The 24,405-nt window shown below is 41.0% G+C and overlaps 1 protein-coding gene across 11 annotated transcripts in view; it reads right to left on the bottom strand.

The window, feature by feature from the left end:
• RALGAPB (Ral GTPase activating protein non-catalytic subunit beta) overlaps nucleotides 1-24,405 on the bottom strand; it is a 106,016-nt gene that overhangs the window by 79,739 nt on the left and 1,872 nt on the right. For 10 of the 11 annotated variants that reach the window (NM_020336.4, NM_001282918.2, NM_001282917.2 and 7 more), the window contains 3 exons: nucleotides 10,502-10,717; nucleotides 5,988-6,190; nucleotides 1,604-1,767 (listed from right to left, as the gene is read on the bottom strand). In NM_020336.4, the coding sequence (NP_065069.1) occupies nucleotides 1,604-1,767; nucleotides 5,988-6,190; nucleotides 10,502-10,687 (553 nt within the window). In that variant the 5' untranslated portion in view covers nucleotides 10,688-10,717. Of the gene's footprint in view, nucleotides 1-1,603; nucleotides 1,768-3,264; nucleotides 3,342-5,987; nucleotides 6,191-10,501; nucleotides 10,718-24,405 lie in introns of those variants that run through there. The other variant, XM_017027968.3, reaches the window with a different exon arrangement.

Below are 24,405 nucleotides of genomic sequence, written 5' to 3'. Positions count from 1 at the left end.
GAGTCAGTTTCTATGCCAAATAGTTCATACAAATGACCTCATATAATCCTCACATTAATTCTGCAGGGTAGGTATCTGTAATACCTAATACCAACTGCTAATTATACCCATTTTGAAGATGAGAAAACTTAGATTCAGAAAGTTTAAGTAACTTCTCCGACTTCATGCAGCCAGTAAGTGAAGGAATCACAACAAACACCCATGTCTTTTTACCTCCAAACTTTGCCATACAATGCTCCAAGTATTTGAAAGCCACCCTTCAAGGGAGAGAGACAGAGAGACAAATAATGGAGCAAAAGGACTGGTGTTGGGAAGGACAGAGCCTTAACCATGAAAATGGGGCTGTTCCCCTGTTCTAAGCCCTGGAACCAGGTGGAAAAACAGCAGTGGTCTTTACACCGCATAGCTCCAGAAGGCAAAGTTGGGACTCACAGGAAAAGTTGTAAGAATGTGTGTTTCAAATGAGCAAAACCAAAGTTTCAACAACAAAGAGCCCAGGAGGGGGATGAATTGTCTGCCTCATGCTGTTGAGACCCCTGGCATGGGGAGTAAGTAGCAGAGAGGTGATGAATCAATGACTGTCCAGCTATTGTCAATACCAGACAGAGTATTACTATCATTGCATCCCTTCCCACACTGAAATTCCATGCTTCCTTTTAGATATTTCCCTGAATACTGCATCTGTGTGAGAACACAAGCACACTCACATGTGTTAGTCAACAGAGTACACCAATGAATAAGCAACAAGAGAACTTGGAACTAGATGATCAACTTATAGTTTATATACACTGTGCTATATACAAAGCAGGGATTCTGAAATACACTGTAAAGTCTTATAAAACTGGAGGCATTTAATGGCTAGCTAATGAATAGCAAACTGGCACACTTCCAAATAGAACAGTTAAAAGACTTTGGAGGTTTCATTTGCTGAGTAAAATATCTTGTCACTACCAAGTTTTCAGACTCTACTTTGATAACTACTTTGTAATATATTATCTATAGGCTCTAATTTAATTGGTTAATTGTTTCTTTTCTTTTTTTTTTTTTTTTGAGACAGAGTCTTGCTCTTGTCGCCCAGGCTGGAGAGCAGTGGCACGATCTTGGCTCACTACAACCTCCACCTCCCAGGTTCAAGCAATTCTCCTGCCTCAGCCTCCTGAGTAGCTGGAATTATAGGTGTGTGCCACCACGCCTGGCTAATTTTTCTACTTTTAGAAGAGATGGGGTTTCGCCATGTTGGCCAGGCTGGTCTTGAACTCCTGACCTCAGGTGATACACCTGCCTTGGCCTCCCAAAGTGCTGGAATTATAGCCACTACGCCTGGCCTATCCTATTAAACAAGCTACTGCTCCCATCACTATCAAACATGCATAATTCACTGAGTCCCTCCCTACATTAGCAAAATCATGACTGAAGGTAAAATAACTTCATCAGGGCTAAAGTTATATTGTGCCTGAGAGTTTCCATTCTAAGAACTGTTAACCTTTGTTTGTAAACCATCATGCCAAAATTTAAATCCCCAATGAGTCTACCGCTCACTGAGTTTAAAGATGAACTGTATTTGGAGCTCAGAAATAAATTAGAAAAAAAAAAATAAACAAACCTTGAACAGTTGGTGGGGCCAGAAGTATGTCGTTAATCTGCAGAAGAAACAACAGTAAGACTTCCCAAGTTTCTCGGGCCATGAGAGATGACTCACGGGCCAGTTTCTGAATGGCTCTCAGGACCTGTAAGCATAGTCGAATCTGACTGGAACCCTGTTCCTGTCTGAAGAAGACAGACAGATATCACTGACAAGCCTGGAGGAGAGACAGCAACAGCTTCAGGACAGGTGACTTATGGATGTAGCAAGCAGTGGTCCAATGAAGCTCCCTAATATTATCAGCAGAGAGGGCTAGGCATACCGTCTTCAGTTTAAAGCTACTTCTTACTCGTCGTAAAGTTAAGCACTCTGGAATCTAAACCTACCACTCCTATGAGAACTCGAAAGCTTCTGGGAGGAAGGCGGGAATACTAGAACATAAACTTCACTTCTGGATTTTCTATGTCTAACATGTGCCTAACACATAATAGCAGACACTCAATAGGTTTTTGTTGAATGAACAAGTAAATACCCACCGCCACCCTTGCTGCTCACATTGAAGCAGAATGGCCTTGGTATTCTTTTTTAATTTTTTTAAACACATATTTGCAAGAATTCTGCATGTGATTTTACAGTGCTCATAGTCCCTCTGAAGCTAAGGTCTGTTAGAGAAGGGCCTACAAGCCAGAAGGAATAGCCTAATAGGTCCCCAAAATTAATGAGGTATGCAGGCATTGCTTCAGAAATAAATACCTGCTACTGCTGCTCTAATTTTAGAAAAAGACACTTAGCCAAAGATGGAGGCTCCAAGTTTCCCAGGATACCCCGGAACAACAGTTTTAAAACTCACCGCAGGACCATTTTTTCCAAGGGAAATCTTATAAAGAAGAATGATCTATAAAACAGATCAAAGTATTTTGGCTAGGACTGAAGATGAAGATAGAGGTCCAGGTCCCAGCCCTTACCCTCACTTTCCAAAGTAGACCACTGAGAATTTTGAGAATAGTAGGAAACCCATTGTATTAGCAAGTGGTAAGCTGGCCTCCAGATCTCTTATGGGAAACCCAAGAGAAGTATCTAATATTACTGAAAAAAGTCTTGAGGCCAAGTTTCTACATATTGTCATTTGTCACAAAGAACTGATAGAAACATACCTGAATCAGACTGGGGAGTTTCCTCAAGAAATTCCAGAAAATGAAGTGAGTTCCCTTAGAACTGTCAACCCAACCTTAGAAGAGAGATTCTCAGATTCTGGGCTATGATGCAGAAAACGACACTTACCCTAGAGTTGCAAGCAAATGACACCACTAAGTTTTCCCTAAAGAAGTCAGACCTAAAGCAAAATGATGAGAAAATTGCCTAGGAAGAGCCAAGCACCTCCAGGAGCGGGGAGATGTTCCACATTCAGCTAAAGGTGGATCTAGTAAAGGTGGATCTAGTCCATGTAAAGCCCTAAGGCTCAAGCTTGTGTCTATTGCTCTGGCTTACTTGAAGAAGAATAAAAAACTATAGCATAGCCCCAAACCTAATCAAGTAATATAAGAGGAAGCCCAGAATAAGAAATAAAAATACCACTAATGGCCCTGGGACTGACACCCTTCCAAGAGTGCATGCCTCCTACATGGTAACTTAGGTCTACCTACCATTTCCAGGTATTTGCCCAATGACAGGAAAGGAAATACCTGTTCCTCAGGTACTGAGGCTCCTTCCTCCTCATTCAGAAGGCCTAAATTCAGAGGCAGGGTCCAAAGTTCTAAAGCTAAAAGAAACAAGGTAACCTTTACATTAAAAAAAAACAGAAGAGCTAAACACCAGAGATTTCCCTTTCAAAAATATCAAGTTACTTTTTAAAATGTAACTTGTGATTTTCAGAAAAACTGCTTTAGAACAGTGGTGGTGAATGCTGGCCAATGGGTCAAACCTGGCCTGCCATCTTTTATTGTAAATAGAGTTTACAAATCTGGCCTACTATCTATATTGTAAATGAAGTTGTATTGGAACACAGTAATGATCATTCATTTATATATTGTCTATGGCTGCTTTCATGCCACACCAGCAGAACTGACTAATTATAACACTATATGACCTGCAAAGCCTAAAATGCTATCTGACTCTTTGCTAACCCTGCTTCAGAACAATAATATGTTTTTCTAAAGTACAGTATAGTATATGTGAGCAATTAAAACCTTAACCAACTTTAAAAGATGATTTACTCTTCACTCAATCTTAAAAAAAAAAATCAAACTGATGGGCAAAAGAGAAATGTTACATTCATTCTGACATAATCTCTAGCAAAATGGCAAAGGCAGTTCCCTCCATTTTGAATGTCAGTTTTTATAAAAACAACTAATTAAGTAAACTTAGATGACAGTTTTGTGAACTATCAGAATCAAATAAACAACTAAAACTTCAAATAATGGGAGATGAGATCATAACACCAATACTTACCATTGAAAATATTCAGCTAATTTTCCTAAAACATTAGCCAGGAAGAGAACTCTAATTCTCAGTTGAGTACCCTCTCAGAATTTACTAACACTTATGCACACATACTTTTGAGAAAACAAGGTAATTACCAAATAGCAAAACCATTTATAAGGTAGTCATGTTTCTCAAAAGAGAAAAGTAAAGGCACAAGCCTAATTAACTCAAATGCCATTAATTTTTTTTCATCAATACAAATTAACTGAGCACTGAAAGGTAGTAGGCTTACAAAGAGGAAAGAGACACAGTGACAATACTACTCATGAGACTATCCCAGGCACGAAGAAAAAGCCTAGTAGGCTCCTAAATAAGATAACAAGAAAGTATTAAAACTATTACACCATTTTAGAAGAACCTGCTTATAAACAATATTCTAAGTACTCCCAACCGTTTCCTGTTTTTTTTGTTTTGTTTTGTTTTGTTTGAGACAGAGTCTCGCTCTGTCACCCAGGCTGAGTGCAGTGGTGCAATCTCGGCTCACTGCAACCTCCGCCTCCCAGATTCAAGCGATTCTCCTGCCTCGGCCTCCCATGTAGCTGGGATTATAAGCACATGCCGCCACACCCGGCTAAGTTTTGTATTTTTAGTAGAGACAGGGTTTCGCCATGTTGGCCAGGCTGGTCTGGAACTCCTGACCTCAGGTGATCCACCCGCCTCAGCCTCCAAACATGCTGGGATTACAGGCGTGAGCCACTGCACCCGGCCCATTTCCTGTTTTTAATTCCATGTGAAATCAATAAATACAAACAACACGCATTTAATTGACACCTAAGATAAGTACTAAGTATTAAAATACCAGTATTGCACCAGATACTGTGGAAGCCTAAAATAGAGACAACAGAGTTCCTGCCTTTGAGTTGGTTAGATGGGGAAAGGAGACACACATTTTAAAAGATAAGCAATAAAACAGTGAGAGATACAAGAGTGATGCAGAAAGTATCATATAGGTTCAGAGAAGGTGTGATCGCTGTGGGCCTGAGTGGTTAGGTAGGACTTCTCCTCACAAGGCAGAATTAAAGAACCAACAAGAATGAGATGTGGTGATGGAGAGAAGGAAGAGGAAGAAGACAAAAAGACATCATGATGGGAAAGATCTTTAGGAGGTCTTAGAGGAATGTCTGACTTACGAGTCTGACTACAGAGCAGCACTCACGCAGAATTCAGAACAGCTAGTCTAGTTAGGGGCCAGACTACACCAGGCATTTCATGCATGGTATGCTGTTTACACCTGAGCCTACAGACCAGAGTTCTGGAGACTTCTCTTTTTTAATTCAGATTTTCCAAAGTAATCTCCCTTCTATATTTAGAAAGTTAAAAACTTACAGAGCTGGTTTTCAAAGTCCCTCACCGTATGACAGACCAAAAGCTCTAACCAGAACTTTACCAAAAGGAAACATGTTCTACTGCTCCTTGAAGGTATCCCTATATTATGATATTTAAGGCCCTTGCCTAAGATGGAAAAAAAAATCAGAAACAAACTATCAAGAGGAATCTTTTGGCTTACTAACAATTTGCCCATAATCATTTCAAGTGTCTTCACTCTCTCATAGGAAAGATGCCTATTAAGGTAGATGCATCTCCCTTAGTTGTGTTTAGCCTAAATGGAAACAAGAATTGTGATAGGCAAAAGTATATTTTTTTGAGTAGAAGGGAAAGATGTTACAGTATTTTAATATCTAACAGGTATGAGATTTTAGAAGCAAAGCTAAAAACCTTTAAAGAACACATACCTGTTAAAAACTCCTAGTAAACATTACATAAGCCCATCTCTCCTAACATTCACATTAATACAATCTTTAACTGAACACATGAAGTCACTGTTCAGAGGACTAACAATGAAATCAGCTCCTATACTATAGTAACGTTTATGAATATTTTACTATGACCCTGATAATGGGCCAGATAGACAGGTATAGCTTACCTTGGTACAAAAAGATTCTGTAGGTGTTTTAGTATAGTTTGAACATATTGATTAGGCTCTTTAATAACTGGCAATGGAATAGAATCTTTTGGCAACACTAAAGCCATAATCCAGTCTGTATATACATCAACGCAATATTTTACAGTCTCTCCATCCAATGGAAGGGTCAGTCCATAGCAAATTACTTCCATGGTCCATTTTACCTAGACAAAAGAAAATATCCATATAGAATTATTACACGTTCCTATCTCAGTAGACTGATTTAAAATGTCAATCTCTTTTATTGCCAAAAACCTCTAAATTGACAGTATATTCGTCTCAACGTAAATATCAGATTTATTTTAGATAATGCATTTTTCACATATCAAACATACAATTTCCCAAGCAAAAGCTTTAAGAAGAAAATAAATTACTTATTTTTGAATATCAAGCCTATGCTGGTTTTTACCCTTTAGATATTATTATTATTTGCTCTGTGAACTAAAAAGTAAATACAGGTCATTTCAAATTTCCATAGAGATTAGATATGCAAAATAGAACATTTTAGAGTTTTTTCTCCACTTAATGTTTAAGTATGTGTAGCATTTAGAAAATCATATAAAGTCAGTCACATTCCATCTCCAGATTATGCAAATGCACAAACAACAGGAAGAAAGATCAACTGTTTACTCTTACTTTACAACTGTTCTCTGCCAAAAAAAAAAATAATAATAATACTTAAAATGAAGAACAAACACATCTGAAAAAGGATTGAAGCTGGGTAAGATCTTAACAAGGCATTTAGCTGCACTGAATGAGTCCCAGCCTCCTGACCTAGCTGAATCACATCCTAAGGACTGAGAGAACTTGCCTAAGAGACGGCTGAACCACTAGGCTGCCGGCAGTCGTAATTGTAGAGATTAAATAATCTGGCCCAAGTCACTGGTTTATAAAAAGTGGAGCTGAAAACTTGAATTCTGGTCTTCCAACTAGAAGGTGCCACTGGGCAACTTTTTCCAAAATGACTTTGGCACATTAGTCTAATACTATTCTGTCATGTGGTATCTTGACCAATTATAAATCCAGCCATTCTACCATCATCTGAGCTATATGTCTCCATCTATGAGAAACCCCAATTTGCAAAAAAGGGAGGAAACTGTATTCCAGACATTGTAAACTGGAAAGTTTAAGTGAATTCCAGACAAAACTTTGAGACAAATTACTAAGCAATCAGTGAACACTCACAAAAGAGAAGCATGATCACCAAGACCCAGCCTGCTCAATAAGATCAAGCCATGCCAAATGAGCTTCATTCCTTTATTAATAGGGTTACTATTTAGAGGGCTGACAACAGTGTAGTCCTTGCAGTTTACAAAGCACTTTCATAAATATCATCTAGCCATCACAATAACTCTGTGTAGACAGGGTAAACTATCCTTACTGTACACATAAGAAAACAGAAGCTTAGCAAGATTAAGCAATTTGGCATAAGTCACTGGTTTATAAAAGGTGGAGCTGAAAACTTGAACCCTGGTCTTCCAACTAGAAATTTTAAGCTATTCTCTCCATACCATTAACAGAGTTCTCCGGCAAACGGGTATCTGGGTGTTAGCAAGAAATCTAGACAGACCCAGGATCTCCTTGTGGACAAGATGGAGACATATGGCCCAGAGGATGGTAGAATGGCTAGATTTACAACTGGTCAAGACATCACATGACAGAGTAACAGTAGATTAACATGCCAAGATCATTTTGGAAAAAGGTGCTCAGTGGCATGCCAAAGGCTCTGCCAAGATTCTAACTTAGGGGAAAAAAAAAAAGAAAAACAGTGTATGCTGATCATCTGTAGATACCACAAAGCTAAAAAGGATGGCCAACTTGTTGGACAGAAATTCAGGATTCAAAAAGGCTTCAACAGCTTAAAACCAAAGTTAAATCTAACAAGATAAATATATGTATTAAATTTGTTAAGCTCAAAAGCAACTACAAAGGTTAAGGGTAGGAAATACATGGTTTAACTGCAGTAAGTGTTAAAGAAGCCTATAACAGCACAGTGAAGCTGTGACAAATTTGGAGCAGGGTGTAGCAAGATTTAGCCACATAAGAGAAGAGATTCTAAAAGACATTGCAGGTCCCTAATTATCAGATGAAAAACCAAGAAGATATCTTTGGTGGCATCTTCACACAGTTGTTTAATTTTATAATTCTAGGCCAGGCGTAGTGGCCCACAACCGTAATCCCAGCACTTTGGGAGGCCAAGGACTGTGGATCATCTGAGATCAGGAGTTCGAGACCAGCCTGGCCAACATGGCAAAACCCCATCTCTGCCAAAAATACAAAAATTGGCCGGGTGCAGTGGCTCACACCTGTAATCCCAGCACTTTGGGAGGCCAAGGTGGGTGGATCACCTGAGGTCAGGAGTTCGAGACCAGCCTGGCCAACACAGAGAAACCCTTGTCTCTACTAAAAAAAATACAAAATTAGCCAGGCATGGTGGTGCATGCCTGTAATCCCAGCTACTCGGGTGGCTGAGGCAGTAGAATCGCTTGAACCTGGGAGGCAGAGGTTGCGGTGAGCTAAGATTGCGACATTGCACTCCAGCCTGGCCAACAAGAGCGAGACTCTGTCTCAAAAAATAAATAAATAGGCCGGGCGCGGTGGCTCACGCCTGTAATACCAGCACTTTGGGAGGCCGAGGCGGGCAGATCACGAGGTCAGGAGATTGAGACCATCCTGGCTAACACGGTGAAACTCTGTCCCTACTAAAAATACAAAAAATTAGCCAGGCATGGTGGTGGGTGCCTGTAGTCCCAGCTACTCGAGAGGCTGAGGCAGGAGAATGGTGTGAACCCGGGAAGTGGAGCTTGCAGTGAGCCAAGATCATGCCACTGCACTCCAGCCTGGGCAACAGAGCGAGACTCCGTCTCAAAAATAATAATTAATAAATAAATAAAAATACATTTTTAAAATACAAAAATTAGCCAGGTATGGTGGCATGTGCCTGTAGTCCCAGCTACTCAGGAGGCTGAGGCAGAAGAATCGCTTGAACCCGGGAGGCAGAAGTTGCAGTGAGCCGAGGTCATGCCACTGCACTCCAGCCTGGGCGACAGAGCGAGACTCCGTCTCAAAAAAAAAAAAAAAAGTATAATTCCAGAGGAAACAGGAATTCTCATCTCTTTTCAATGGTGAGAAAGGAGAAAAAAAAGGGCTGCATCAGAGCACCTCTATCTACTCACGTACCATCTCTTCCCAGGAGAAGGCAACAAGGGATCACAAACGCACCAGGAAGAGAAACACTAGGGCCTGTGCTAGTCCTCGGGGATAAATCTAGGGTCCTCTGAAGAGAGAAAAATGTTCCTCAGACTGAAGACCTTTACTCTTCAGAGACCCATGGCTGAAGGAGGATCCTACCCTTAGAGCTACAAGTTTTAGTCTTATATCTAAGTCTAATCTCTCCTTCACAGGAAACCAAAAAGCAAACAGAAAAAAAGGGTCTGAGAAATAGGGTACAGGTTTTGCTAAACATGAAGTCTGAAGGTTGCATGAGCTTCTTCAACACAAGGGACAAAGTTTTAATCCTGCATCTTAGCCAGAATTTATACTAGCAAGCTCCTCTATCACTCCATTCTCAGGGCCCCTTCATGACTTCCCAATGGCAACTTTTTAACTTCAGCCTGGGCCGCTGAACCCAAGAACAAAGGGCCAGCTTCAGGGCAAGCCATTCCAAGAGCCCCTATCTTTAGAAACAGTAAACACCCAACCTGGGCAACATAGTAAGAACATCATCTCTATAAAAAAATTTTTTAAATTAGCCTGGCGTGGTGGCATGTGTCTGTAGTTCCAGCTACTGGGGACTCACTGGGGTGGAAGAATCATTTGAGCCCAGAGAGACTGAGGCTGCAGTGAGCCGTGGTGCCACTGCACACCAGCATGAGTGACAAAGCAAAACTCTGTCAAAAAAAAAGAAACAGCAAACACAACCCCAATTCCAATCACCTAGGCTTAGGCCAGAAGGGCTTGGCTTCTCTGCAGCACTCTTAAACCTGGAAGCCAGGAAGGAGTAGGTAGGGATGGGGACAGGGGAGAGCTTAAGCACAGCATACACATAGCCTGAAAACTTGACATGAGTCTTCAGTCAGGGGCCATCCAGAGGTAGGGATGAGGCCTTCCAAACACACTCTAAATGGAAATCAGAAGACTAAGCCTAGATCTTTGGGGGAAGTGTTTGACATTCAAGTCTTTGTCTTGGCCTTCAGCTCAAGTGGAGAATTGACCATAACTAGTAAAAAGTCCCAGCAGCAAAACAGTACAACTCACTCCTTATAACCTCCACAAACTCCGAGTCCCAGCCCTCAACTCAAACAAGATCAAAATTGAGAAGTCATACTACGTTGGGGAGAAATCCATTAAAAAGTTGACGTTATTCTACTACAGCTCTTTTCAAAGAAAAAAGAACAAAAAAGTTAACATTAAACAAATTCTTCAAGAACAAATGTACATTTTCATATAAGAGAATGAAATTTAGAAACACTTACTTCTTTGTCAGTTTTTAACAAATTCTCACTACCAGCCACTGAAGGGGTACCTAACACCTGCCCAAGAGGACGGACTACAGCATTTGCCACCTCTCGTCCAACGCTCTCTGGATAGCTGTGCAGCACACTGGTATGGCCTTGATCATTCTGAATCACCAAATGCAGTGACCTCCACTCAGAGTACATCGTGCCACTAAAGTACAATCCAAATGGCACCTGAAAAGACAAAACAGAAATGCATGTCAAATTATACTATTGGAAATTAACAGAAATAAATAAAACAGATGTATAGACTATTGGCATGATAAAGAATGCTGCAAACATCTTGCCTCTATCAATGTTTTTCAAACTGTGGGTCATGAAACTATCAATGTTTTTCAAACTATGGGTCATGAAATAAATGTTATGGATAATACTTGTTTTAATTAGATGGTATAGGATGTATGATAAAGGCATCACACATAATAAAGGCAAGCAATGTTTCTGTGAAACTTGTTTCCTTTGTAATATATGCATATGTTCTGGGTCACAATGGAAAATACATTTTTTTTCTTTTTTGAGACGAAGTTTTGCTCTTGTTGCCCAGGCTGGAGTACAATGGTGTGATCTTGGCTCACAGCAACCTCCGCGATTCAAGCAATTCTCCTGCCTCAGCGTCCTGAGTAGCTGGGATTACAGGCATGCACCACCATGCCCGACTAATTTTGTATTTTTAGTAGAGGCAGGGTTTCTCTACATTGGTCAGGCTGGTCTCGAACTCCCGACCTCAGGTGATCCACCCGCCTCAGCCTCCCAAAGTGCTGGGATTACAGGTGTGAGCCACCGTGCCCAGCGGAAAATACATTTGTTATGATAGGTCTTAGTCCAAAAATTTGAAAACATAACCCTAATGTGAATATGTAGTCTCCTAGATTTTCCTGCAAGATAATTGCATAATTTTTCACTTAACTTGTATATTCATCTGGAATTTACTTCTGTAAGTGGTGTAGGAAAGGTCTGATTTTACTTTCTTCTAAATGTATGGTCAGTTGTGTCAGCATCACCTCTTAAAAATACATCCTTTTCGCACTAAACTGAAATACTAATTCTGTCATATATTAAATTTTCATTTCTTCTAGAATCTATGAAACTTCTGTTCTACTCAACTACTTGTCTATTCCCATGCCAACCCATAATGATTTAAGTTCAGTGGCTTTATAGAATGTTTTTTCCAAAACTTTATTGTCTTCTCTAGACATTTATTCTTCAGTATACGATTTATTATTTTATCCAAATAAAAAAAAATCAACAATAAAGCCTTGCTACAATTCTAATGGGAATTGCATACACTACCTTGCCAGCCTCATCTTCTACTGCCACTTTCCCACAAACATCCCAAGCAATGGCCACAAAGAACTACTGATGATTGCTCAAGCCCAGCAAATCCTTTCTTACCCTAAGTCACTGGTCATGCTGCTCCCACTGACTGAACTGCCATTCCCTGCCTTGATCCATCTTATGAAGTACTCAGCCTTCAAAGCCCAACTCAAATGTCCTCTCTTTGGTAAAACCTTTCTTGACTCCTTAGACCAACTCCTCTCAGCTGAGTGCCTATTACCGGATGTTCATATAAAGCTGCCATTAGCTCATTCATTAGTGGTGTACGGATACATTCACCACAAAAGTGTCAGCCTTTTTTGGGTGGGGACCTTGCCTCCTGAACCTCTGAGTCCCTAGCACACAGTGGACATTGACCATGTGTTTGAGAGTGTCAAGGTTTACCAGTGGGAAAAAGGAAGATATCAGAAGGTATTCCCTCTATTCCACTAAAGTGTGTCCAAAATTTTGTATGTTATATTCAAATAAAAATTTAAAAATGTTCACTTGTTTGAAGCTAATTACTAGTAAAAATAAAAGTTGGATGGTTTCCAAATACTAAATGAATATTTAATATTCAGGATCCATCACAGCATATTATTGGAAGAAAACAGATTTTAAGAAGAAAAAAAAGGACAAACTAGCTCTCAAACTCTACTGTACACTTAAGAATCATCAGGGGAGGAAAGGGTCTAGCTGAAAATGCAGACTCCTAGACCCCATTCAGAAAAAGCTCAATTCTGCAGGTCTGAGCTGGGGCCTGAGAATCTGCATTTTTAAGAAATGGCCACTACCCTCCCAATTCTGAAGAGAGGAGTATACCTTATGAAAGACCAATCAAAATAGGTTTAATAGCTATTAAATCCTTCTGACAAACTTTTTTTAAGTTTTTAAATGTAAGAAATTTTCATTCTCTAAATGTATTAATGTTTAAATGATTAAATGAAACCAAAAAATGCTTTCAAGAAACATGTAAAATAGAAAGATATAGGCCAGGCGTGGTGACTCATACCTGTAATCCCAGCACTTTGGGAGACTGAGGTGGGTGGATCACCTGAGGTCAGGAGTTCGAGACCAGCCTGGACAACATCATGGTGAAACCCTGTCTCTACTAAAAATACAAAAATTAGCTGGGCATGGTGTCACACACCTGTAACTCCAGCTACCTGGGAGGCTGAGGCAGGAAAATCACGTGAAACCGGGAGGTGGAGGCTGCAGTGAGCAGAGATGGTGCCATTGCACCCCAGCCTGGGCGACAAAAGCAAAACTCCATCTCAAAAAAAAAAAAAAAAAAAAGATATAGAAAGGATACAATGAAAAAGCTGAACTAAAACATCAAAATATATGTAACAGAAAAAAGATGCTAAACTTTAACAAAATGCAGACAAAAAACATTAAAACAAAGAAATGCATTATAATTACGGATATATTAAGTAAAACAATGAAGAGAACATAAACATTAGAAACAAACATGGAAAAAACACAAAGGCAACTAAAGTATCATTTTGTACCTATTAAACTAACAAAACAAGCGATAAAACTCAACTCTGGCTCACACCTGTAATCCCAGTACTTTGGGAGGCCGAGGCGGGCAGATCACCTGAGGTCAGGAGTTTGAGACCAGCATGGCCAACAGGGCAAAACCCCGTCTCTACTAAAAGTACAAAAATTAGCCGGGTGTGGTGGCGGGCACCTGTAATTCCCAACTACTCAGGAGGCTGAGGCAGGAGAGGCTTGAACCCAGGCGGCAGAGGTTGCAGTAAGCTGAGATCGCACCACTGCACTCCAGCCTGGGTGACAAGAGCAAGACTCCATCTCAAAAAAAGAAAAAACAAAAAAACAAAAAACTCAACTCTGATGAGGAGGTAAGGACCCAACTGAGAGATTAGGGCAATGATTTTTAATAGAAAAACCTGTCACCTAGAGGCACTGTGGAAATAAGTGTACTTTTGGTTAGCACAATGAGTAGGGCAAGCTGCTGGTATTACAGGCAGAGTCAGGAAATCTAGACATCCTGTACTGCATGAGACAGTCCTGCACAATGAACAATTATGCCACATCTCACATGACTTTTGAACATCTGCTAGAAAACCATTGTCTGAGCCTAAAAATTAACTTCATTTACATATAAATACAAAATATATTGTGCTATTTTAATAGACTGAATTTTCCAATAATGCAATTAATCATATAAATTGAGGAAGACTAAGCTTCATTATCTTTAGAACCAAGAACTGTTCACAACTCTAGAAAAATCACATCACCAGGCAGGTGTGGTGGTGGCTCACACCTGTAATCCCAGCACTTTGGGAGTCCAAGGCGGGTGGATCACCTGAGGTTGGGAGTTGGAGACTAGCCTGACCAACATGGAAAAACCCCAACTCTACTAAAAATACAAAATTAGCCAGGCATGGTGGTGCATGCCTGTAATCCCAGCTACTCAGGAGGCTGAGGCAGGAGGATCACCTGAACCTGGAAGACAGAGGTTGCTGTGAGCCGAGATCGCGCCATTGCACTCCAGCCTGGGCAACAAGAGCTAGTATACAAGCTCTGTTTACAGCTATTACACAGTTCTAGCTGTCACCTAGAAGGAATGCAGACCTAGACTTGCCAGATAATCCAATTTTTGAAGAGACACAGAAAATCTGGACATTTCTACAGTCTCCTACTCTTTAAATGTTATCAACTAAACTCAAAACAAAATAAAACAAAAACAAAAACAAAAAAACACAATGTCAGCTAAAAAAGAACTTATCTATGGTCCAATTTATGCCTCTGATCACAGATAAAGGCATATACTAGTTTTGGTAACTGAATTATAGCAAAATCCTTGTGGAAAGAGGATAGTGAAGTGTATACTTTGTATAAGCTGTTGGTGCCCCAGAAGTCACCCCAACCCACCTTTGTTGCTGGGGCTGGGCTTATAACCCAACTATGGAGGTCCTACAACTTCACTTTATTTCATCGTGGTTGCTGTTAGGGAAAAAAGGGATGAAGGCAAAGTGCAGTGACAGATTTGGTAGAGGGAGTTCCATTAGGCCCAGTATTGTCAGTGGCCAGTCTACTCTTTTCTTTTCTTTTTTTTGAGATGGAGTCTCACTCTGTCACCCAGGCTGGAGTGCAATAGCGCCATCTTGGCTCACTGTGACCTCGCCTCCTGGGTTCAAGCAATTCTCCTGCCTCAGACTCCTGAGTAGCTGGGACTACAGGCGCCCACCACCACACCTGGCTAATTTTTGTATTTTTAGTATTCACCATATTGGCCAGGCTGGTCTCGAACTCCTGACCTTGTGATCCACCCACCTCGGCCTCCCAAAGTGCTGGGATTACAGGCATGAGCCACTGCGCCTGCCCAGCCTACTCTTAAACACACAAATAAGAACCTCCTCTTGCTGTTGCGGCTTAGGCTATCCAAAGCAACAAACCTTGGAGATCCTGGAGAACGTTACTTTCAGGAGCCAGTACTGCTGCACCACCTAGGCCCTCCTAGGCAAGAATCAACCTCTCAGGATAGCACCATGGCAGAACCCTCACATGTCTTGATCACACTTGCCATGTCTTAGTCTACTTGCCATGGGGTTGTTTGTAGCTCCATCCCGTTAGTAAGTTGGCACACTTGTAAGGCACCTCAGGCTGATATGTCATTTCCTAAACATTCACCCAAGGATAGCATGAACGTTTTGCCAGTACAAAGCAGAAGACAAAGGGTGCCTTGACCCGGTAATTTGACTTGTTTATCCTTATAAAACAGCTCAATTTTTAAAAATGTACAAGATGCTCACTGTAGTATTACATATAAGATGGGGAAGTGGGTGTAATTTAACTTCCATCAATAATGGGAAAATTTCATAATTAGGACATATTAATTCTATATACTATTATGTAGCCATTAAACACTGAGATTACAGAGAAGCATAAAAACATAGATGAGAGTGGTTAAGAGCCAGTGCTCTGGAACTAGGCTTCATAGATTCAAATCCCAGCTCTACCTGCAAGCTGGGTAACGTTGCAAAAGTTACTCTACTTTTGTGTTGGAACATCCTCATCTGTAAAATGGGGATAATAATAGAATAAGGCCAGGTATGGTGGCTCACGCCTATAATCCCAGCACCATGGGAGGCGGAGGCGGGCACATTGCTTGAGTCCAAGACTTTGAGACTAGCCTAGGCAACATGGAGAAAACCCAACTCTACAAAAAACACAAAAAAGTTAGCCAGGCGTGGTGGCACACACCTGTAGTCCCAGCTACTCTGAAGGCTGAAGTGGGAGGATCACTTGGATCCTGGTGTTGGGGCTACAGTGAGCCATGATTGTGCCACTTCACTCACTCCAGCCTGGGCTACAGAGCGGGACTCTGTCTAAAAAAAAGCAAATAGTAGATTAGGAGCCTACACATTGTGTTTCTTGTGGTGGTGATTAAAGAATCACATATGTAATCCGTTTGAAACATGCCCTTGTCCATGTAAGCAATCAATAAATAACTATTAGAGAAAGAAAAACATATATATCATAATTACAACCAGATAAACACATACACCAGACGCGGTGGCTCACGCCTGTAATCCCAGGACTTTGGGAAGCCAAGGTGGGTGGATCACCTGAGGTCAGGAGTTCGAGACCGGCCTGACCAACATGGTGAAACCCTGTCTTTACTAAAAAATACAAAAATTAGCTGGGCTTAGTGGTGTGTGCCTGTAATCCCAGCTACTTGGGAGGCTGAGGCAGTAGAATCTCTTGAACCTGGGAGGGTGAGGTTTCAGTGAGCCGAGATGGCGCCACTGCACTCCAGCCTGGGCAACACAGCAAGACTCTGTCTCAAAAAAAAAAAAAAAAAAAGATAAACATACAGCTGTGACTAAAGATTAGAAGGATGGTAGAGAAATGCAAGTACAGTTGACCCTTGAACAACATGGGTTTCAACTGCTAAGGTCCACTTACATATGGATTTTCTTCCATTTCTGCCATCCCTGAGACAGCAAAACTAATGCCTCCCCTTACTCCTCAGCCTACTCAACATGCAGATGATGAGGATGAAGACCTTTATGATCCACTACCACTTAATGAATAGTAAATACATTTTCTCTTCCTTCTAATTCTTAATAACATTTTCTTTTCTCTTACTTTAAGAATATAGCATATAATATATATACAAAATATGTATTATTTGACTGTTTATGTTATTGGCCAGGCTCCTGGTCAACAGAAGACTATTACTAGTTTTGGCAGAGTCAAAAGTTACTTGAAAATTTTTGATTGCACAGGGTCAGTGCTCCTAACCCTTATGATGTACGAGAGTCAACTGTAGTTTTAACTTAGTGGTAGAAATGTTGGTACAACTTAATGTAATATGTTTTTATTACTACATCTTTATGTCATAGAATTGGTAAGTATATGTCAGCATCCTGACTATACATATGAACATTCAGAGACACTGGCGGGGACCACCAAGTAGACTTATTCAATAAACAGCTATTAACCATCTATTTTGTCCAATGCAGTGTTAAAACCATGAAGAAGAAAGATTAATAGGACTTGGTTCCTGTTTTCAATGAGTTTATGGCTTAATTAAGGAGATTAAGATGTATACATTGATATGGTTTGGCTCTGTGTCCCCACTCAAATCTCATCTTGAATTGTAACTCCCACAATTCCCATATGTCATGGGAGGAACCCTGTGGGAGGTGACTGAATTATGGGGGCAAGTCTTCACTGCGCTGTTCTCATGACAGCGAATGAATCTCACGAGATCTGATGGCTTTTTAAAAACCGGAGTTTGCCTGCACAAGTTCTCTCTTGGCCTGCCGTCATCCACATAAGATGTGTCTTGCTCTTCCTTGCCTTCTGCCATGATTGTGAGGCTTCCCCAGCCACGTGGAACTAGGATTTCTCCATTAAACCTCTTTCTTTTGTAAACTGCTCAGTCTTGGGTATGTCTTTATCAGCAGCATGAAAACAGACTAATACCTACCATAAATAACTATAACATAAGTTAGAACATTAAAATGTTGAATGTGATATTTTTAAAAACTATAGGCAAGACACCACGGAAGTTCAAAGGAAAAAGATTACTTTTGATTGAAAGATAGGCTGAGCTGGAAAACAACAGGGTAAGATCAGGAAAGACTACAGATACAGAGCATACGAATTGTGCATTGAAGGAAGGGTATAATTTTGATGGAGGTAAGAAAATTGAGGTGATAAGACTGAGGGTAAAAAGGGGCAGATGAGGCCGGGTACAGTGGGTCACGCCTGTAATCCCAGCACTTTGGGAGGCCAAGATGGGCAGATCACGAGGTCAGGAGATCAAGACCATCCTAACACGGTGAAACCCCGTCTCTACTAAAAATACAAAAAAAAATTAGCCGGGCGTGGTGGCACACGCCTGTAGTCCCAGCTACTCAGGAGGCTGAGGCAGGAGAACGGTGTGAACCTGGGAGGCGGAGCTTGCAGTGAGCCAAGATTGCGCCACTGCACTCCAGCCTGGGTGACAGAGCGAGACTCCGTCTCAAAAAAAAAAAAGGGGGGGGCGGGGGTGGGGGAGTCACAGATAAAAGAGAGAACAAAATACATAGAAGAGCCAAGTGTGGTGGCTCATGCCTGTAATCCCAGCACTTTGGGAGGCCGACGCAGGTGAAATCACCTGAGGTCAGGAGTTCAAGACCAGGCTGACCAACATGGTGAAACCCCATCTCTACTAAAAATACAAAAACTAGCAGGGCATGGTGGCGTGCGCCTGTAATCCCAGCTACTCAGGAGGCTGAAGCAGAGGAATCGCTTGAACCCAGGAGGCGGAGGTTGCAATGAGCCAAGATCACGCCACTGCACTACAGCCTGGGTGACAGAGCGAGACTCCATCTCAAAAAAAAAAAAAAAAAAAGAAAGAAAGAAAAGAAAATACATAAAAGAAAGGAAACTTGCTTCAGGTAGCAAAAAAAAAAAAAGCACTAGAAACCGAAAACCCAGAGCCAAAGGAAAGAAAGCTATATGTAGAAGGTGGTAAGGTTTCAAAGGTAAGCAGTGACCAATTTTGAAGGACTCTGAATGTTAGGATTGAATATTTGTAATTAATTCAGTAAAACTGGAGGCAGAAAATGAGCAAAAGTTTAACCTTATCTTAGCCGGGCATGGTGGCACACACCTGTAATCCCAGCTATTCGGGAACCTGAGGCATGATAATCGTTTGAACCCAGGAGGTGGAGGATGCAGTGAGCCAAAATCGCACCACTGCACTCCAGCCTGAGCAACAGAAGAAGACCCTGTCTCAAACAAAAAAAAAAAAGAAGAAAGTTTAACCTTACCACAGGCATGACACATCGGGAACTAAATTTCCATTAAAGCAATTTGATGGAAGTGTCCAAGATACACTGAAGGGATAGTAGAAGAGCAAACTCCAATGTGGCTACCATATAGGCTAAGGTTGAGGGCGGTCAGGGGGGTAACAGGGAGGTTTCAGGCACTGTAGTGAGATATAATGATATAACTGTCAAGTTAGATGATTAAGGACTTCAACTGCTATATTAGGGATCCTGAGTCCCCTCCCCAGGTGGCTGTCTGCTATCAACCTGAGCTGCTAGCAGAGAAACCTCTACCTTCAATGCTCCAGAAGTAAATATAATGGGAAGAAGGGGAAGAAGTCAACAGTGCTCCCCTGCAGATCCCTTAATTTCCTTCCCAACTCTATATGTACTCATTTTCTAGGTATTCTCTCTGGAGGTTGTGTGTGCTGGGTAACAGCTTATGGCTTGTAAGCACCACCGCAAAATAACATGCAAGTTTGGTCTAAATGACAAATTACCAAAATAATCAATACAATGGTGGACACTCTAAGACCATAGCCTGACATTAATTACATCAATTGATTCAAACAATATTTATTACATGCCTTCTATGCAACAAGCACAGAAAATAAACAACATCCCTGTTCCCAAGGAGCTTCAAGTCTCATTACAAAAAACAATTCTTTAAAACTTTGTAAAGTACATCCAGACATCAGTTATTTCATTAAACAAACATTAAACACCAGCTACATGTCAAATTTGTCCTAGGATTTAGGACAAATCCTAATATAAACAAAACACAATGGCTGCCCAAGAGAAAGTTTCATAGTGAGGAAGACAAGAGAAATCAAAGATGACACCATGGTACAGTAGTATTCAATATGGTAACTGATGAGTTACGACAGCAGCATAATACAACAAAACAAACTACTTGAGGCTGGATGTGGTGGCTCACACCTGTAACCCCAGCACTTTGGGAGGCCGAGGCGGGTGGATCACTTGAGGTCAGGAGTTTGAGACCAACCTGGCCAATATGGCAAAGCCTCATCTCTACTAAAAATACAAAAATTGGCCGGGTGCAGTGGCTCATGCCTGTAATCCCAGGACTTTGGGAGGCCGAGGTAGGCAGATCACCTGAGGTCGGGAGTTCGAGACCAGCCTGACCAACATGTAGAAACCCCGTCTCTACTAAAAATACAAAATTAGCTGGGCGTGGTGGCGCATGTCTGTAATCCCAGCTACTCAGGAGGCTGAGGGAGGAGAATCACTTGAACCCAGGAGGTGGAGGCTGCGGTGAGCCGAGGTGGCGTCACTGCACTCCAGCCTGAACAACAAGAGCGAAACTCTGTCTCAAAAATAAAAAATAAAATAAAATAAATAATAATAAAAATAAAAAAATTAGCCGGGTGTGGTGGCGGCTGCCTGTAATCCCAGCTACTCAGGAGGCAGAGGCAGGAGAATAGCTTGAACCTGGGAGGCGAAGGTTGCAGTGAGCTGAGATCACGCCACTGCACTCTAGCCTGGGTGACAGAGCGAGACTCCGTCTCAAAAAAAAAGAAAAACTACTTGAGGTCTTGCTTGAGCACATTGTACCTTTGCATAATTTATCATTTTCAAAGAGCTTTTACATGTTACTTCATTTTATTCCAATAACAACCCTAGAAGGTTAGGTAAGACAGACGTCACTAACCACTAGGTAAGGAAACAAAGTAAAGCTATGACTTGCTCAGGATCACATCAAGTAACAGCGGATCTGGGACAAGAAACTCCACCTCTTGCCTCAAAGTGCAATGCTACTTCCCTTTGTCCTGACTCCATACCTCACCATATGACTTTGGATAAGTCAACTGGCATTTCTCTTTTTGAGACAAGGTCTCACTCTGTCGCCCAGGCTACAGTGCAGTGGCACGATCTCGGCTCACAGCAGCCTCTGCCTCCCAGGCTTAAGTAATCCTCCCACTCAGCCTCCCAAGTAACAGACCACAGGTGTGTGTCACCATGCGCCGCTAATTTTTAGAAAAATTTTTATAGAGACAAAGTCTCATTATGCTGCCCAGGCTGGCCTCAAACTCCTGGGCTCAAGCAATCCTCCCACCTCGGCCTCCCAAAGTGTTAGGTTTACAAGTCAGCCACCGCACTCGGTGACCTGGCATTTCTTTGTCATAGTTTCCTCATCTGTAAAACAGGGAGAATACCTGCAGTGCCTATCTAGAGTGACCTGGGAGAAGGATCAAATAAAGCAACCTAAGTTGACATACTTTGAAATGTACCAATGGAAGGTACACATTATAAGACATGCCTATTTCTCTTGGGAAAAATAGGATACAGGGTGCTAAAACACTGAGCAAATAAATAAACTGTGCTTTTTTTAAGGTGCACCAAATTCATCCATATAACCTCATGATTCATATTGCTGTTGCAGTCCCATTGACCCCATAAGGCAAACATCAATAAAGCTGGCAAAAAAGGAAGGTATTCACCTATGTACCAGATGCTATTAGAGATCCTATCAAACACCTGAATTACAGGAAACAAAGACAGGTTCTGCCTGCATCTCTCCCAAAACATGGAAAATGGTAGTTTTTGGTAAGCTACCCAAAGAACGTTTGAATACCCTGTCTGCCCCCTACCAGCACCACCACAGTTCTCATCTTTTATGCCTGAGACCTTCTCTGAGGCATAAAACAGACCTCTGTCCAATACAGCAGCTATTTCATGTAACTATTTAAATTTTAAAAACTTTTAATTTTAATAGTTTTAAGTTTAAACTATTTGAGTCAAACATCACTTCCTTGGTTACACTAGTCATTTTAAATGCTTACAAGTCACATGTGGCCAGTGGCTACCATATTAGAGCAAGTAAGATTTAGTTCCATGATTGCAGAAAATTCTATTTGACAGAGCTGCTTCAGATACTACACTATTATTTTATTATAACTTTGATTAGACTCCTTGAGGACAGGGGCCGTGTCTTATTTATCTTTGTATTCCCAGTTTATATAGCTAAGTGCATTTCACACACCAAGTACTCACTATCCTCAACTTATTATTTTCAACTGTACCAGGGTGTGAAAGTGATATGCGTTCAGTAAAAACCGTACTCTGATTATCCACATAACCATTGTTTTTCACTTTCAGTACAATATTCAATCAATTACATGAAATATTCAACACTTTATTATAAAATAGGCTTTGTGCTAGACAATTTTGCTCAACTGTACGCTAATGTAAATGTTCTGAGCATGTTTAAGGTAGATGAGGCTAAGCTATTCTGTTCAGTAGGTATATTAAATGCATTTTTGGCTTACGATCTTCTCAACTTTGATAGGTTTATTGGGAAGTAATCCCATCATAAGTCGAGGGGCCTCTAGATATCTAATTGAGTTTCTCAAACATAGCAGATCACTCTCTCCCCTTCCCTATCCCATGCACACACAGACAGGCAAACACAACACAACAATACACAAGACAACCTTTCTCATGGGGAAGGGGTCGGGGGCGAAAGGGGACACCGTCCAGAGGAAGGAGGCCTGCTTTCTAGTCCTGGAGGTGCTAGAAGCTAACCATGTAGCCTTGACCAAGTTACTTTCCGCATCTATAAAAAGTTAGAATGAAACTCCATGCACCTTAATTTTAAAACTTAAATCATCTCGCACCAAAGAAAATCAACTATTCTGCCCAAAAAGTCTTTGCACATGTCAGGAAACACACCTGCTAACACTGATGAGTACCTCGTATTAAACAGAATCCATTTCTAGGTCCCAAGCTATCATGATTAGAGTCACTTTTGTTCTCTGAGCATGTGGAATTTTTCACCTTTACTTTGGGGCACAACTACAGACTTAAACCTTCAGCCTTAAAGATTGAGTTTCTTCCATGTGCTAAAGCAAGAACTGGATACTGTGTCCCTATCTGATCAGACACACAAGGACAAGTTTCTTGAGTATCTGAATTTAACATAAGTTGTCCCATCAGTTTCTATTAGTGCTAAGCCTAAAAACTGACCAAATAATACAAAACGGAACCAAGAAAATTTTTCTATAACAATCCTTATAAAGAATATTTTATGGGCTGGGGACGGTGGCTAATGCCTGTAATCCCAGCACTTTGGGAGGACTAGGCAGGCAGATCACTTAAGGTCAGCAGTTCGACATGAACCTGGCCAACATGGCGAAACCCCCTCTCAACTAAAAATACAAAAAAATTAGCCAGGTGTGGTGGTGGGTGCCTGTAGTCCCAGCTACTCAGGAGGCTGAGGCAGGAGAATCGTTTGAACCCAGGAGGCGGAGGTTGTAGTGAGCTGAGATTGCGCCACTACACTCCAGCCTGGGGGACAGAGCGAGACTGCATCTCAAAAAAAAAAAAAAGAAAAAAAAAATTTTATGAAATGTGTTTTTAATTCAGTCTACATACTTTGTCATGTTTAATTGCTATACAAAAAAAAATCTTTATTGTCCAAAAACCTCCTCATAATGACCTTCACACACATATTCACTAACTTTTGCAAATCCTTACATGGTTTTAAGACCAACCAAGAACAAATCCAATCTGAATTATTGGTCTGCCTTCCTTTAAACTTGTAAATATGGCAAATGGGGCAATGGCAGTTCAGGCATTCTGCAATAAATATGTGCTAAATTTGTCAATTCCTGTGACAACATGATTTTACTCTTCATTAAGTACTTAACGTCCTCTCTCCTGGTGAACAGGACCAAACATTACCAATGGCAATCCCATCTGCTTGTATTTACCAAATACCAACAAGGCAGTGGCATTTAGTGGATGACAACTAAACACTTTTTTGGACAATGAAGTAGGGAACACATGCAAAGGTCTAACAGTAATAAAAAGACTTTCCCTACAGACATGATTGCGTCCGATTGTGATAGAATCAGACATTAAAAATCAAACAATGTTGATTGCACATGGTTAGTTACAGAGTGCCTTGCAATTGGTAAGAACTCAATGTGTGTGTTCAACTGCTGGACAAATTGCTGAACATAACTAGAATACTCACTCCTAAGCAAAAAGAACAAAACTCTATAAGCTGGGAACTACCAAACATCTTTTACAAAAATGGAAATAGAGAAGAATCTGTTCGCAACATGATCTATCTATGACATAAAAGGACCCAAACATTCCACTGAGTAAAAGCTTTGTGAGTCTGTATGTCAAAGCACTGGAAGGAATACAGAGATGAAGAAAACATAGTCCCTGCCCTAAAGCTTCTCATAATCTAGAAGTAGGGATAGAACTACAACTCAGAAAAAT

The sequence above is a fragment of the Homo sapiens genome, chromosome 20, assembly GCF_000001405.40.
Source record: "Homo sapiens chromosome 20, GRCh38.p14 Primary Assembly".
NCBI classification, from domain to species: domain Eukaryota; kingdom Metazoa; phylum Chordata; class Mammalia; order Primates; family Hominidae; genus Homo; species Homo sapiens.
This window is presented reverse-complemented; position numbering and strand designations above follow the sequence as displayed.